The following is a 16,774-nucleotide window of genomic DNA, read 5'->3' as shown; positions in this document are numbered from 1 at the left end:
GCACCTGCCTGCAGCACCCTCAAACAAAAAAATAATCAAAAATTCTCTATTTTTCTGTTTAATAGGGAAGGGAATTAACACTCATTGACTTCTCGCTATATTCCAGGCATTTTGCTTATTTAATTCTCATAACTGGGGTGGGCGCAGTGGCTCACACCTGTAATCCCAGCACTCTGGGAGGTCGAGGGCAGAGGAGAGGATCACTTGAGCCTAGGAGTTCGAGACAAGCCTGGGCAACATGGTGGAACCCTGTCTCTACAGAAAAAAAAAAAAAAATTTAGTCAGGTGTTGTGGTGCGCAACTGCAGTCCCAGCGACTTGGGAGGCTGAGGTGGGAGGATCCCCCAAGCTCAGGAGGTAGAGGCTGCAGTTAACCCACTGCACTCCAGCCTGAGTAACAGCCAGATCTTGTCTCAAAAAATAAAAATATATATATAACTCTCACAACTGTTTTAAAATAATTACCACCTCAAATTATACTTGAAGTTCAAAGAATGTAAGTAATTTGCTCACTATCATATAGCTACTAAGTAACAGAGCCAGATTTCCATACCTCATCATCAACTTTCTCTAGGCTATCTAGGCACTCTACAGTCATCTGTGTATTTAAAAAGAAGTATTTGTTACTAAATTTTACAGATTCTACCTCTATGGCATTTTTCACATCAAAACCCTCACTGCCAATCCCACTGCCACTACTTTTTGTTTAGGTCTCTGTTACCTCTTGTCTGTTCTACAGCAAAACACCTCTCAAGCATTCCAATCTCTAGTCTTATTCTCTTTAGTCCATTCTGTACACCTGTAAAGAACAGCTTCTTGCTCAGCCTCCCAACATCTATGAGGATGTTTTAGTAATGGTCTTAGATTTCCTTTTGAGATATTACCTCTCCTCTGCCTAGGTATTCCCCTCTAGGAAACATGTACTTGGTTTTTGGAAATTCTGAATCTTGAACAAATGATACAAGTCTGGAAAAAAACGGTTGGCACTTATTCATTTGGGTGGCATCCTGATGAAACTGTCTATTCATTCCTTGTATCAAGACCCCAGGAGCTATCCTAGACTCTCTTCAGCCTTCCTTTTCAGTCTGCGAGCAACTTAATAGTCTTATAATAAAATTATTCTTCTTTTTTTTTTTTTTTTTTGAGACAGAGTCTCACGCTGTTGCCCAGGCTGGAGTGCAGTGGCGCAATCTCGGCTCACTGCAACCTCCGCCCCCGGATTCAAACAATTCTCGTGCCTCAACCTCCTGAGCAGCTGTGATTACAGGCGTCCACCACCACGCCCAGCTAATTTTTGTATTTTTAGTGGAGACAAGGTTTCACCATGTTGGCCAGGCTGGTATGGAACTTTTGACCTCAAGTGATCTGCCCACCTTGGCTTCCCAAAGTGCTGGGATTACAGGCGTGAGCCACTACGCCTGGCCAAGAAAATTCTTAAGATAGTTGGTATCACTTCTCTGCTTCCAAAAACCCTAACAGATACATCACTCCTAACTCAAATAAGATCTCTAAAGCATTTCTTTCTTTTTTTTTTTTTTTTTGAGACGGAGTTCAAAGCGATCCCCCTGTGTCAGCCTCCCAAGTAGCTGGGACTACAGGCGTGCACCACCACACCTGGCTAATTGTTGTATTTTTTGGTAAAGACAGGGTTTCACCATGTTGGCCAGACTGGTCTGAAACTCCTGACCTCAAGTGATCCACCCGCCTTAGCCTCCCAAAGTGCTAGGATTACAGGCGTGAGCCACCGCACCTAGCCAAGATCTCTAAAGCACTTCTAAAGAATTACTCAATCTTCCTGCTCAAAAACTTTAACCTACAAGTTCTCAATATTATATAATCTTCTCCAGGTTAAGTTTTCAGGGTTCTCCCCATTTTGGTCCAAACTACATTTCTAAACTTATTTTCCACCAATGGCATTACATTCATTAATGTTATTCTCTCCACTTGGAATGCTATCCACAAAACCCCCATGTCTGCCTACAAATCCTACCCACCCTTCCGAATCTATTTCATTGTTCCCTAGTATATCAATTCTCATCCAATTCCACTTGAAATGTAGTTGGTGCAACTAAGAAACTGAATTTTATTTAATTTTTATTAAGTTTAACTTAAATTTATGGTAGCTAGGGGTCACCATATTGGACAGCTTAGCTCTAGCATATAATCTATTTTGCTCTACTATAAAATATTCAAGGAAAATATAAGAAGTTATTTAGGCGTTTCCTTAATCTCACCAGGATGCCACTCCAAAACACCCTGAAGTTGCTCAGATCTAAGTTAGAGAATAACAGGCATAGAAAATCAAATTCAAAATCCATAACAAATCATACAATGTACCAACAGCTGGTCCCACAAATGAGGGCCTCTTAAGCTACTGAACCTTTGAAGAAATTTGAAAAAGGGACTCCTTTTAAGGATATGCAACTCCATAAGCACAAGACATGGATAATGGATAGCAGAGCACAGACCGAATTTCAGTCCTCACTCGCCCCTTTGACAGATGCCCCTGGCTTAGAGCCACACATACTTCCCATATTCTCTTTCCTCTAGCCTTTTACTGCATCTCAGAATGTCTTTTTTTCTACCTTTGGCTCAGCAACTATCTCCTAGATGTCCTCCCAGACTACTATACTTACTGTCTTCCCTAATCTCTAATTTGGATTCAGAACCCTCTTCTGTGTTTCTGTAATATAAAAATATCTCTGATATTGCACTTATCATACTAGCTTATAATTATTTATTTTCTCCATTGATTTCCTACCCTGGAACAATACGCTCTCTGCAGACACAGGTCACATTTTTTCACCATTACGTTTTCACCTACTACATAGCACCTAAACATAGTAGGTGCCAAATCAATGTAACCATGAATCAAACTGATTCATTCTTGGCCGGGTGCGGTGGCTCACGCCTGTAATCCCAGCACTTTGGGAGGCTGAGGCAGGTGGATCACGAGGTCAGGAGATCGAGACCATCCTGGCTAACACAGTGAAACCCCGTCTCTACTAAAAATACAAAAAATTAGCTGGGCGTGGTGGTGGGCGCATGTAGTTCCAGCTACTCGGGAGGCTGAGGCAGGAGAATGGCGTGAACCCAGAAGGCGGAGCTTGCAGTGAGCCGAGATCGCGCCACTGCACTCCAGCCTGGGCGACAGAGCGAGACTCCGTCTCAAAAACAAAACAAAACAAAACAAACAAAAAAAACCTGATTCATTCTTATGTAAAATGCATTAAAATAAGAGAAATTTTACAATATTTAAATTACCTATCAATTTTAACAGAATCTAATTTCACTTGATCTTAGATTACAAGAATGATATTTTCAAACATAATTTATCATCTTTCAATATCTCCCTTACTAAAGTAAAAAGTTTGGTTTTTTTGTTTGTTTGTTTGTTTTTCATTTTTGACAAGATCTGGCTCTACCACCCAGGCTGGAATGCAGTGGTGTAATCTCAGCTCTCCCAGGCTCAAGCCATCCTCCTACCTCAGCCTCCCGAGTAGCTGGGACTACAGGCACACACCACCTTACTCAGCTAATTTTTATATTTTTTGTACAGATGGGGTATCGCCATGCTGCCCAGGCTGGTCTCAAACTCGTGAACTCAAGCTGTCCACCCGGCTCGGCCTCCCAAAATGCTGGGATTACAGGCAGGAGCCACCAAGCCTGGTATAAGTTTTAAAGTGAACAAAAATGGGCCGGACACAGTGGCTCCCACCTGCAATCCCAGCACTTTGGGAGGCCAAGGCAGGAGAATCATTTGAAGTCAGGAGTTTGAGACCAGCCTGGCCAACATGTTAAAACCCCATCTCTACTAAAAATAAGAAAAAAATTAGCCGGGCATGGTGGTGTGTGTCTGTAATCCCAGCTACTGGGAAAGCTGAGGCAGGAGAATCCCTTGAACCTGGGAGGTGGTGGTTACAGTGAGCCGGGATCGTGCCACTGCACTCCAGCCTGGGAGACAGAGTGAGATTCTACCTCAAAAAACCAAAACCAATAAGTATTTACTAATAAATTTAATGGTCTAACTTTTAAATAATTTTACTTCTAACTATCTGGTTGTTATAATGGAGACAAAGTAGTATATCTCAATAGCACATTAATCTTTAGCACAGGTAGAGTAATACATTTTGTATATAATCTATAATGAAAAATGACAATCCCCCCAAAATTGTTAAAATATTCCAAAAGAAACTTACATGTGCTCACTTCAGCAGCACATATACTAAAAACCTGGAACAATACAGAGATTAGCCTGGCTGCTGAGCAAGGATGACATACAAATTCATGAAACATTCCATTAAAAAAAATTTTAAACTTATGTTAAGTTGTACAAAACTTCAAACTATTTTCTAAACAGCAAAAAGAGAAACTAAAGGTCAGCAGTCAACAAAGAAAACTTCTGACAAGTAATCTAATACATGACACAAAAATAGGCATCTCCTACTATTGACCTCCTTTTTTCTGATAAGCACAACTTCCAAAGAAAGATATGTAGGTCACCCAACTTCTATACTTTAGCAACCAAGGAGAAGTGGATGAGTCTTCCTATTTCTCTGCCCAGTATTTGTCTTCTTTCCTTAGCAAATGTTACCGTGTCTCTATTTGTCTTTTTTTTTTTTTTTTTTTTTTGAGAGGGAGTCTCGCTCTGTTGCCAAGGCTGGAGTGCAGTGGCGGGATCTTGGGTCACTCCAAGCTCCGCCTCCCAGGTTCACGCTATTCTCCTGCCTCAGCCTCCCAAGTAGCTGGGACTACAGGCACCCGCCACCATGCCTGGCTAATTTTTTTGTATTTTTAGTAAAGACGAGGTTTCACCGTGTTAGCCAGGATGGTCTCGATCTCCTGCCCTTGTGATCTGCCCGTCTCGGCCTCCCAAAGTGCTAACTTGACCTAATTCTCATTTATAGAACACTATACACAACAAATCAAGAATACACATTCTTCTCAAGTATGTACAGAACAACCAAAATACACCATATACTGGGCCATGAAACAAGTTTGCTTTTTTTTTTTTTTTTTTGAGACAGGGTCTCACTCTGTCGCCCAGGCTGGAGTGCAGTGGCACAATCTTGGCTCACTGCAACCTCCGCCTCCCGGGTTCAAGCAATTCTTCTGCCTCAGCCTCCAGAGTAGCTGGGATTACAGGCGTCCACTACCACGCCTGGCTAATTTTTTGTATTTTTAGTGGAGACGGGGTTTCGCCATGTTGGGCAGGCTGGTCTCGAACTCCTGACCTCAAACAATCCGCCTGCTTCTGCCCCCCAAAGTGCTGGGATTACAGGTGTGAGCCACCACGCCCCAGCCTGAAACAAGTTTTAATAAATAAAGAATTAAATTCAGACAGTATGTTTTCCGACCACACAGAATTAAATCAGAAATCAAAAATCAGAAAAATATCAAGAAAATTCCTAAATATTTAAAAATTAAACAACACACTTCTAAATACACATGGTTTGTCATAGAGAAATATAAAAGTGAAATTGGAAAATATTCTGAATTGAAATACAGGGACACAGGAAAATCTTATAACATTAAATCCTTATATTAGAAGAGGCTGGGCGCAGTGGCTCACGCCTGTAATCCCAGCACTTTGGGAGGCCGAGGCAGGTGGATCATGAGGTCAGGAGATCGAGACCATCCTGGCTAACACGGTGAAACCCCGTCTCTACTAAAAAATAGAAAAAAATTAGCCGGGCGTGGTGGCGGGCACCTGTAGTCCCAGCTACTCAGGAGGCTGAGCAGAATGGCGTGAACCCAGGAGGTGGAGCTTGCAGTGAGCCAAGATCGCGCCACTGCACTCCAGCCTGGGAGACAGAGGGAGACTCTGTCTCAAAAAAAAAAAAAGAAAAGAAGAAAGATTTAGTACCAAAATATAAGCATCCAGATTAAGAAACTTAAAAAAAAAAAAAAGGAAGAGCAAATTAAATACAACACAGCAAAAGGAAATAATGAGCCAAAGTAAAAAAAAAAAAAATGGGGGAAAAAAAAGAAACCAATAAAGAAAAGTCAATGACACCAACAGCTAGATTTTTGTTGTTGTCGTTGAAACGGTGTCTTGCTCTGTCACCCAGGCTAGAGTGCAATGAGGCGATCTCAACTCACTGCAACCTTTGCCTCCCAGATTGAAGTGATTCTCATGCCTCAGCCTCCTGAGTAGCTAGGATTACAGGCACCTGCCACCACGCCCGGTTAATTTTTGCATGTTTAGTAGAGACGGGGGTTTCACTATGTTGGTCAAGCTGGTCTCGAACTCCTGACCTCGTGATTCACCCACCTCTGCTTCCCAAAGTGCTGGGATTATAGGCGTGCAGTAGCACGCCCATCCTCAAAGCTAGCTAGGTAACTCTGTAGACAAACTAATGCCAAAGAGAAAGAAGAAACAAATTACCAGTATCAGGAATTAAAGAGGTGATACCACTACAGACGCTATCAACATTAAAATAAAAATATGGGATTATTATAAGTAATTTTACCAGTTAATCTGATAACTCCCATGAAATGGAGAGTCTCTGAAAAAACATAAACTATCGAAGTTCATTCAAAAATAGAGGGGCCGGGAGCAGTGGCTCACGCCTGTAATGCCAGCACTTTGGGAGGCTGAGGCGGGCGGATCACCTGAGGATGGTCAGGAGTTTGAGACCAGCCTGGCCAACATGATGAAACGCAGTCTCTACTAAAAATACAAAAAAAAAAAAAAATTAGCTGGGTGTGGTGGCTCGTGCCTGTAGTTCCAGCTACTCAGGAGGCTGAGGCAGGAGAATCGCTTAAACCCAGGAGTTGGGGATGGCAGCGAGCCGAGACTGCGCCACTGCACTCCAGCCTGGGCGACAGAGCGAGACTCCATCTCAAAAAATAAATTAAAAAAAAGGATAGGCCGGGCGTGGTGGCTCATGCCTGTAATCCCAGCACTTTGGGAGGCCGAGGCGGGTGGATCACGAGGTCAGGAGATTGAGACCATCCTGGCTAACACAGTGAAACCCTGTCTCTACTAAAAATACAAAAAATTAGCTGGGCGTGGTAGCAGGCGCCTGTAGTCCCAGCTACTCGGGAGGCTGAGGCAGGAGAATGGCGTGAACCCGGGAGATGGAGCTTGCAGTGAGCCGAGATCGTGCCACTGCACTCCAGCCTGGGTGACACAGCAAGACTCAAAAAAAAAGGATAAATAGAGGATAGCACAGTGGCTCACACCTGTAATCCTAGCACTATAGGAAGCCGAGTGGCGAGGATCACTTGAGCCCAGGAGTTTGAGACCAGCCTGGGCAACATGCCAAAACCCAATCTCTACCCCCCAAAAATTTTTTAACTGGCTGGGTGTGGTGGCATGTGCATGTGGTTCCAGCTACTTGGGAGGCTGATGCAAGAGGATCACTTGAACCCAGGAGGTCAAGGCTTCTGTGGGCTGTGATGGCACCACTACACTCCAGCCTGGGTGAACACAGCGAGACAAACAAAAAAAGATAACCTAACTTACTGTTTCCACTAAAGTAATATAATTCATAATTAAAAGCCTTGCCTAGAGAAAACTCTAGGCCCAGATGGTTTCACAGGGAAATTCTATCAAATATCTAAGAAAAAATAATACCAGTTCTACATAAACTCTTCCAGCATATAAACATTTATCAACTTATGAGGTCAACATTACCATGATACCAAAACCAGATATCAACAAGAAAACTATAAACCAGTATCTCAAACAGATATAATGTAAAAATTGCAACAAAACATTTACAAATAGATGCTGGCAGTTTATAAAAAGAATATAACATCATCAAGTGGGATTCCTCTCAGGAGTAAAAATCAATCCATATAATTCACTTTATTAGTCTAAAAATGTATAACCGGCTGGATGCGGTGGCTCACGCCTGTAATCCCAGCACTCCGGGAGGCCAAGGCGGGCGGATCACAAGGTCGAGGAGACTGAGACCATCTGGGCCAACATGGGGAAAACCTGTCTCTACAAAAAATACACTAATTAGCTGGGCGTGGTGATGGGTGCCTGTAATCTCAGCTACTTGGGAAACTGAGGCAGAAGAATCACTTGAACCTGGGAGGCAGAGGTTGCAATGAGCTGAGACTGAGCCACTGCACTCCAGCCTAGATGACAGAGCGAGACACTGCCTCAAAAAGAAAAACAAAAAATCCCTATAGCTAATATCACATGCAATGATAAAAGATTAAGTATTTTCCGGCTGGGCGCGGTGGCTCACACCTGTAATCCTAGCACTTTGGGATTACAGGCAGGCGGATCATGAGGTCAGGAGTTCAGGACCAGCCTGGCCAACATGGAGAAACCCTGTCTCTACTAAAAATACAAAATTAGCCAGGCATGCTGGCGCATGCCTGTAATCCCAGCTACTCGGGAGGCTGAAGCAGCAGAGTCACTTGAACCCGGGAGGCGGAGGTTGCAGTGACCCGAGATCGTGCCATTGCACTCTAGCCTGGGCAACAAGAGCGAAACTTCGTCTCAAAAAAAAAAAAAAAAACAGATTAAGTATTTTCCTCATAAGATAGGGAATAAGACAAGGATATCCACCCTCACACTGTACTTTAGGAGCTAGCCAGTGCAACAAGGCAAGAAGAAAAAAAAAGGCATTCAGACTGGCAAGGAAGAAATAAAACTGTACTAATAAACGTAATTGTGTACACAGAAAATCCCAGTCCACAAAATAGCTACCAGAAATAAGTGAATTTATCAAGGTTGCAGAATACAAAGTCAATATCAAAAAAATCAATTATGGTCGGCACTGTGGCTCATTCTTGTAATCCCAGCACTTTGGGAGGCCGAGGCGGGTGAATTGCTTGAGTCTGTGGCCAGCCTGGGCAACATGCAGAAACCATCTCTAAAAAAATAAAAAATTAAGCCAGGCGTCGTGGCATGCACCTGTAGTCCCAGCTACTTGGGAGGCTGAGGAGGGAGGACTGCTTGAGCCCAGGAGGCAGAGGTTGCAGTAAGCTGAGGTCACACCACTGTACCCCAGCCTGGGTGACAAAGTGAGACCCTATCTCAAGAAAAAAAAAAAAAATTAGCCAGGTGTTGCAGCAACACTTGTAGTCCCAGCTACTTGGGAGACTGAGGTGGGAGGATCAATTGAGCCCGGGAGGTTGAGGCTGCAGTGAACCAAGATTCTGTCACTGCACTCGAGCTTGGGCAACAGAGTGAGACCCTGTCTCAAAAAACAAACAAACAAAAAAACAATTTTATGTTTACATACTCATAATGAAACTGAAATTTGGTGGAGGGGGGAGATAACATTTTCAATAAAATTAAAAATCATGGCTGAGCTCAGTGGCACATGCCTATACTTCCAGCACTTTGGGAGGCTGAAGTGGGAGGATCGCTTGAGCTCAGGAGTTCAAAACCATCCTGGGTAACACAGCAAGACCTCATCTCTACTAAAAATCAAAACAAATTAGCCAGGCGTGGTGGTGTGTGCCTGTGGTCCCAGCTATTTAGGAGGTTGAGGTGGAGAATCGCTTGAGCCTGGGAGATGAATGCAGCAGTGAGCCTTGATCACACCACTGCACTCCAGCCTAGACAACAGAGAGAGAGATTACATCTCAAAAAAAAAAAAAAAATACTGCCGGGCGCAGTGGCTCACATTCCCAGCACTTTGGGAGGCCGAGGCGGGTGGATCAATTGATGTCGGGAGTTCGAGACCAGCCTGACCAACAAGGAGAAACCCCGTCTCTATTAAAAATACAAAATTAGTCGGGTGTGGTGGCACATGCCTGTAATCCCAGCTACTGGGGAGGCTGAGGCAGGAGAATCGCTTGAACCCAGGAGGCGGAGGTTGCGGTGAGCCGAGAGCATGCCATTGCACTCCAGCCTGGTCAATAAGCGTGAAACTCCATCTCAAAAAGAAAAAAAAAAATTTACAGAATACTTAGAGATAAATCTAACAAATGTGTGCACGATTTGTATGCTGAAAATTACAAAACACTGATGAGAAAAGTAAGAAAAAGACCCGAATAAATGAAGAAATGTACTAAATTCATAGACTGGGAGACTCAGTATTGTCAGGATATCAATGGTCCCACTAATGATCCAAAGATTCAACAAAATCCCAAAAAACCAGCAGCCTTTTTTGAAGAAACTGACAAACTGATTCTAAAACATACATAAAAAAAAAAAAAAAAAGCAAAGCACCCAGAATAGCCAAAACAACTTGAATAAAAGAATAAACGTGAAGAACTCTAATTGATGCTAAAACTTACTATAGTCAGCCCCCTGTATCCTTAGTTCCACGTTCCTGGATTCAGTCAACCTCGGATTAAAAATATTCAGAAAAAAACAATTCCACAAAGTTCCAAAAAGCAAAACTTGAATTTGCCATGCACCAAGTAGTACAGTGAATCCAGAAGAATGAAGTGATGTGTAGGGAATGCATTTAGTATTATAAGTAATCTACAGAAGATTTAAAGTATACAGGAAGATGTATGTAGGTTATATGCAAATACTACATCATCTTATATAAGTGACTTAGGCATTCATGGATTGTATCCACAGGGGTCCTGGAACCAATCCCACACAGATACCAAGGAATGACTATATAAAGCTATGATAGGCTGGGTGCAGTGGCTCACACCTGTAATCCCAGCACTTTGAGAGGCCAAGGTGGGAGGATCACTTGAGGTCAGGAGTTGGAGACCAGCTTGGGTAACATGCAAGACCCTATTTCTACAAAAAATAAAAATAAAAAATAAAAAAAGTTTAAAAATTAGCCAGGCACGGTGGCATGTGCCTGCAGTCCTAGCTACTAAGGAGTCTGAGATGTGAGGATCACTTGAGCCCAGGAGTCTGAGGTTTCAGTGAGCTATAATCACACCACTGCACTTTAGCTTCGGCAACAGAGCAAGATCCTGTCTCGAAACAAAACGAAGAAGCTGGGCACAGTGGCTCATGCCTGTAATCCCAGCACTTTGGGAGCCTGAGGCAGATGGATTGCTTCAGCTCAGGAGTTCAGACCAGCCTGGGCAACATGGCGAAACCCCGTCTCTACTAAAAATACAAAAATTAGCTGGGTGTGGTGGTGTGCGCCTGTGATCCCAGCTACTTGGGATGCTGAAGTAGAAGGATCACTGGAGCCTGGGAAGTCGAGGCTGCAGTGAGCTATGATCACGCCACTCTACTGCAGCCTTGGTGACAGAGTAAGACGCTGTGAAAGAAAAAGAAAGAGAGAGAAGAGAGAGAATCAAAGAACTAGAGTTTATCAAAATTAAAAACTTCTGCTCTGTGAAAGATACCATTAAGAAAAAATTTTAAAAGCCGTAACTGGGTTTCCAGTGGCAGGGTCTGGGGAAAGGGCGGCAGGTGCCATGTCCAGCCACAAAGATGGCAAGAAGAAACCCCTGAAACAGCCCAGAAAGCAGGCCAAGGAGATATACAAGGAAGGCAAGGCTTTCAAGTAGACACAAAAAGAGGACCAGAAGAAACTATAGGGAAGGGGCCCCTGGCCACAGGTGGAATTAAGAAATCTGGCAAAAAGTAAGCTGTTCCATGGGCCTGAGGCAATGGTGACCCTTGATTTCATTCCCTACTATAACATCTTTTGCCAACTATAGCTGGACTGAAGTGTTGTAATGGAGCCTGTTGTACATTTAAGAATAAACTTTTGTGGAAAGAAACAAAAAGCCATGAACGAAAAAAACGTATCTGCAAAACCTACATCTAATAAGGGCTTATCCTGAATACATAAGGAATTAAAAACTAAACAATAAGAAAACAAACAACCCAACTTAAAAATGGAGGGAAGGGGCTGGGCGCGGTGGCTCACGCCTGTAATCCCAGCACTTAGGGAGGCTGAGGCAGGTGGATCACCTGAGATCAGCAGTTTAAGACCAGGCTGGCCAACATGGCAAAACCCCTTACTAATAAAAAATACATAAATTAGCCAGGCATGGTAGCAGACGCCTGTAATCCCAGCTACTCAGGAGGCTGAGGCAGGCAGAATTGCTTGAACCCAGGAGATGGAGGTTGCAGTGAGCCGAGAAAGTGCCACTGCACTCCCGCCTGGACGACAGAGTGAGACTCCATCTCAAAACAACAACAACAAAAAAAAAAAACTGGTAAACTAAAATAAGGATAATTCATTCAATATTTACCAGACCTTTACCATATCCCTGGCACTGTCCTTGATGCTGGGTTGAGAAATAATGAAGCGGGATGGGAAAATATGATAAAAACTTGATTGTAATTGCATTTAACAAATATTGACTAAATAAACTAAAAGATATAAAAGAATAAAAGATAACCCTGCCCTGAAGATGATTACCCCTTTTAGAAAATTAATGAGTTCAAATTTTGCCTCTCTACGGTAGTATCAAACATGACACTGAATACAATTCCAAGGAGGAAAACTAAAATCTCAAGTTTTACTTAAAAATATTTTACTCAGCAAAGTTTTAAAATTAAACAAGCCTAAAAGATGGCAAATACATAGTTTCGGCTTGCAATAAGGAAAGAAGCCACTCAATGTGTTCTATTTAATTTGTTGTATTATTTAATTAATGTAATATTTAATTAAATAATGTAATATTTAATTTGTTGTATACATTTCCAATGTATAACTGCCCCTTTTCCGATGATCCAATTAATTTCTCTAAGACTTCTCTTTGAGAAGTCTTAAGACTAGCTTTTTTTCCCATTAAATCTAATGGGTACTGTGAATCTTCCAGGTGACTATTTCTCTCTATGCGTTGAAATGAAGAAGAGCAAAAAAAGTATCAGACTTCTAAATCTATCCAATAAAAATAAAAATAAATAATGTTGCAATAAAATCCCTATACATAATCTTTTTTATTTTTTGAAACGGAGTCTCACTGTGTCACTCAGACTGGAGTGCAGTGGTGCAATCTCAGCTCACTGCAACCTCTGTCTCCTGGGTTCCAGCGATTCTCCTGCTTCAGCCTCCCCAGTAGCTTGGATTACAGGTGCCCGCCACCATGCCCGGCTAATTTTTTCTATTTTTAGTAGAGATGGGGTTTCGTCATGTTGGCCAGGCTGGTCTCGAACTCCTGACCTCAGGTGATCCGCCTGCCTCAGCCTCCCCAAGTGCTAGGATTACAGGCATGAGGCACCACGCCCCAGCAAAACTGTTCTTTTTTAATGCAGAAAATTGAATAGACATCTTTCAATGCCAAGTCAAAGGGCAATATGCGAATATTTGAAGCAAGAAAAACCTCCAATCAATTTATCTGCATTACAGTTTATAACTGTACATAATGGTAGACGGGTTCTTAAACACTTGCTTTCAAAATTTAAACCAGTTTCACCATATCTTCTCTTTTTAATTACCACAGTATTTTATATTTGTACCAGTTTGGCACTTAATTATACAGAAACACCAAATACTTTACATCTTCAAAGACTTTTCTTGCTAACTGAAGCAGACCTCTTTGAGAATTAGAAGTTTATTTTATATTTTTCCATAGAAGATAAACAAATGGCTGAGTGCACGAAAAGATGCTCAACATCATTAGTCACCAGGGAAATGCAAATCAAAACTACAAAGAAGTACCATTTCACACTCAAGGATGGCTATAAAATTTTTTTAACGGGAAATAATTGTTGGAGAGGATGTGGAGAAACTGGAACCTTCATATATTTTTGGTGGTAATGTAAAATGGTTCAGCAACTATGGAAAATAGGTGGCCGTTTCCTTAAAAAGTTAAACACATAATTATCATGTGACCCAACAATTTCACTTCTAGGTATACATCCAAAAGAACTGAAAACAGTACATATTAATGTACAAATATGTTCACATTAGCACCATTCATAGTAGCCAAAAAGTATAAAACAGCTGGGCGCGGTGGCTCACCGCCTGTAATCCCAGCACTCTGGAGCCTGAGGCAGGTGGATCGCTTGAGCTCAGGAGTTCAGACCAGCCCAGGGAACATGACGAAACCCCGTCTCTACTAAAAATATCAAAATTATCTTGGTGTGGTAGCACGCACCTGTAATCCCAGCTATTTGGGAGGCTGAGGCAGGAGAATCGCTTGAACCTGGGAGGCGGAGGTTGCAGTGAGCCTAGGTCAAGATTGCGCCACTGCACTCCAACCTGGGCAACAGAGCGAAATTCCGTTCCTCCACCCCCGAGCAAAAAAAAGGTATAAAATGGCTCACATGTCCATCGACAAATCAATGGGAAAACAAACTCTGGTACATAAATATAATGGAATATTATTCAGCCATAAACAAAAATAAAGTAGGCAGGGTGCGGTGGCTCACGCCTGTAATCCTAGCACTTTGGGAGGCCAAGGCGGGCGGATCACTTGAGGTCAGAAGTTCAAAACTAGCTTGGCCGTCATGGTGAAACCCCGTCTCTATTAAAAATACAAAAATAATAGCTGGGCATGGTGGTGCGTGCTTGTAGTCCCAACTACTTAGGAGGCTGAGGCAGGAGAATCGCTTGAACCCGGGAGGCGGAGGTTGCAATGAGCCGAGATTGTGCCACCACACTCCAGCCTCGGTGACAGAGTGAGACTCCATCTCAAATAAATAAATAAATAAAGTATTGGGCTGGACACAGTGGTTCACGCCTGTAATCCCAGCACTTTGGGAGGCCAAGGCGGGTGGATCACTTGAGGTCAGGAGTTCAAGACCAGCCCGGCCAACATGGTGAAACCCCATTTCTACTAAAAATACAAAAATTAGCCAGGCACAGTGGCGTGTGCCTGTAATCCCAGCTACTCAGGAGGCTGAGGCAGGAGAATCATTTGAACCCAGGAGGTGGAGGTTGCAGTGAGCTGGGATCATGCCACTTGCACTCCAGCCTAGGCGACCGAGCAAGACTCCGTATCAAATAATAATGTGAAGTACTGATACATGCTCCACCATGGATGAAGCTCCAAAAACACTATGCTAAGTAAAAGAAGCTAGAAACAGGCTGGGCGTGGTGGCTCACGCCTGTAATCCCAGCACTTTGGGAGGCTGAGGCAGGCGGATCACGAGGTCAGGAGATTCAGACCATCCTGGCTAACACAGTGAAACCCCGTCTCTACTAAAAATACAAAAAAATTAGCTGGGCTTTGTGGCAGGCGCCTATAGTCCCAGCTACTAGGGAGGCTGAGGCAGGAGAATGGCGTGAACCCCGGAGGCAGAGTTTGCAGTGAGCCAAGATCATGCCACTGCACTCCAGCCTGGGCGATAGAGCAACTCCATCTCAAAAAAAAAAAAAAAAAAAAAGAAGCCAGAAACAAAAGGTCAAATATTGTACGATTCCTTTTTTATGAAGTATCCAGAATAGGCAAATCCAAATCCATAGACACAGAACAAAGACTGGTGATTATCAGAGACGGAAGAGAGGAAAATAGCGAGCAACTGCTATAATAAATGGGTGCAGGGTTTGCTTGAGGGTTAAGGAAAATGCTTTGGAACATACATACAGTAGCTATACAACACTGTGAATGTACTAAATGCCACTGAACTGTTTACTTTAAAATGGTTATTTTTGTTGTTGTTTTTGTTTTTTGAGACAGGGTCTCACTCTGTCACCCAGGCTGGAGTGCAGTGGCGTGATCTCCACTCACTACAACCTCCGCCTCCTGGACTCAAGTGATCCTCCCACCTCTGCTTCCCAAGCAGCTGGGACTACAGACACATGCCACCATGCCCAGCTAATTTTTGTACTTTTTGTAGAGACAGGATTTTGTCATGTTGCCCAAGCTGGTCTGAACTCCTGAGCTCAAACAATCCACCGGTCTCAGCCTCCCAAAGTGCTGGGCTTACAGGCATGAGCCACCATACCCGGCCTAAAATGATTAATTTTATGTTATGTGCATTTCACCTCAATTCTTTTAAGTTTAGCTATTTGGGATGGAAATATTTCCTAACTGTATTTAGACACTTCCATGGAGTCTTATTTCCCTTTTTATAAGGCAGACCACATTGAACCTAATTAATATTTCCTGTTGACTCAGGATCACCACTATGTATAACAATGACTATGAGTAAGCCATTCCTCTTGTGTCTTAATTCTGAGTCTCAGTTGTCTCATCCGTAAAATGACATTTTTTGCTAGACCACAGGATCTTAATGTTTTTAGCCACAGATACTTTTGAAGACCCAATTAAGATATGAATTCTTACCCTAGAAAAATGCACATGTGCATATTCATACCAAATTTGTACACAACCTCAGAAAGTTCAAAGACCTACTGTGCAATTCCCGTGCAAGACTCACACAAGCAATTCCCATGGGTTCAGCATTTCTGATTCTACTACGGTCTAATACAGTGGAATAGCATCAACATTTATATGGGTTCATGAAGCTATGCTGTGCTTTTTACTTTCGTTGTATAAATAGTTGCCCTAGTTCACTGCCAAATTCTCTATTATAACTGCTAGCTGCTATCCAACACTTAAAGAACTTAAACTTTAAAAATTCAATTAGATTCTATTCAACAATTAGTACTGTATGTCCTATGCTAGGCATTAAATGGGAGGGACACAAAATAACCATAGTCCTAGTAAAAGCTAAGACAATTAAGTACTTACAAAAAAAGGAAAATATCTCATTAAGTACTAAACTGGGACACTGATAAATGAGCCAAAAAGAACTTAGAGAAGAACAAGGACAGTATAAGCTGAAGCAGTTGGGGACAACTTCATGGAAGAGGACTTGAATGGACAGAGAAAAAGAAGAGATGAGACCAAAAGGGCACTAAAAGAGACATCATAAACATAGGCAAAGTGTGCTGGGCAGTAATCAGAAATAGGCTGTATCGGCTGGGCATGGGGGCTCACACCTGTAATCCCACCACTTTGGCAGGCCA

General features: G+C 42.7%; 1 protein-coding gene and 2 pseudogenes across 2 annotated transcripts in view; 2 read left to right on the top strand and 1 right to left on the bottom strand.

The window, feature by feature from the left end:
* Positions 1 to 16,774, bottom strand: part of TAOK1 (TAO kinase 1) — a 161,541-nt gene that overhangs the window by 122,836 nt on the left and 21,931 nt on the right. The gene's annotated exons all lie outside the window — the stretch shown is intronic.
* On the top strand, positions 4,201 to 4,306 carry RNU6-711P (RNA, U6 small nuclear 711, pseudogene; annotated as a pseudogene).
* Positions 11,316 to 11,488, top strand: LOC124903968 (translation machinery-associated protein 7-like; annotated as a pseudogene).

This window comes from Homo sapiens, chromosome 17, assembly GCF_000001405.40.
Source record: "Homo sapiens chromosome 17, GRCh38.p14 Primary Assembly".
Classification (NCBI taxonomy): Eukaryota; Metazoa; Chordata; class Mammalia; order Primates; family Hominidae; genus Homo; species Homo sapiens.
Note: the sequence above shows the minus strand (reverse complement) of the source record. Positions and strands in the feature narration are given on the sequence as shown.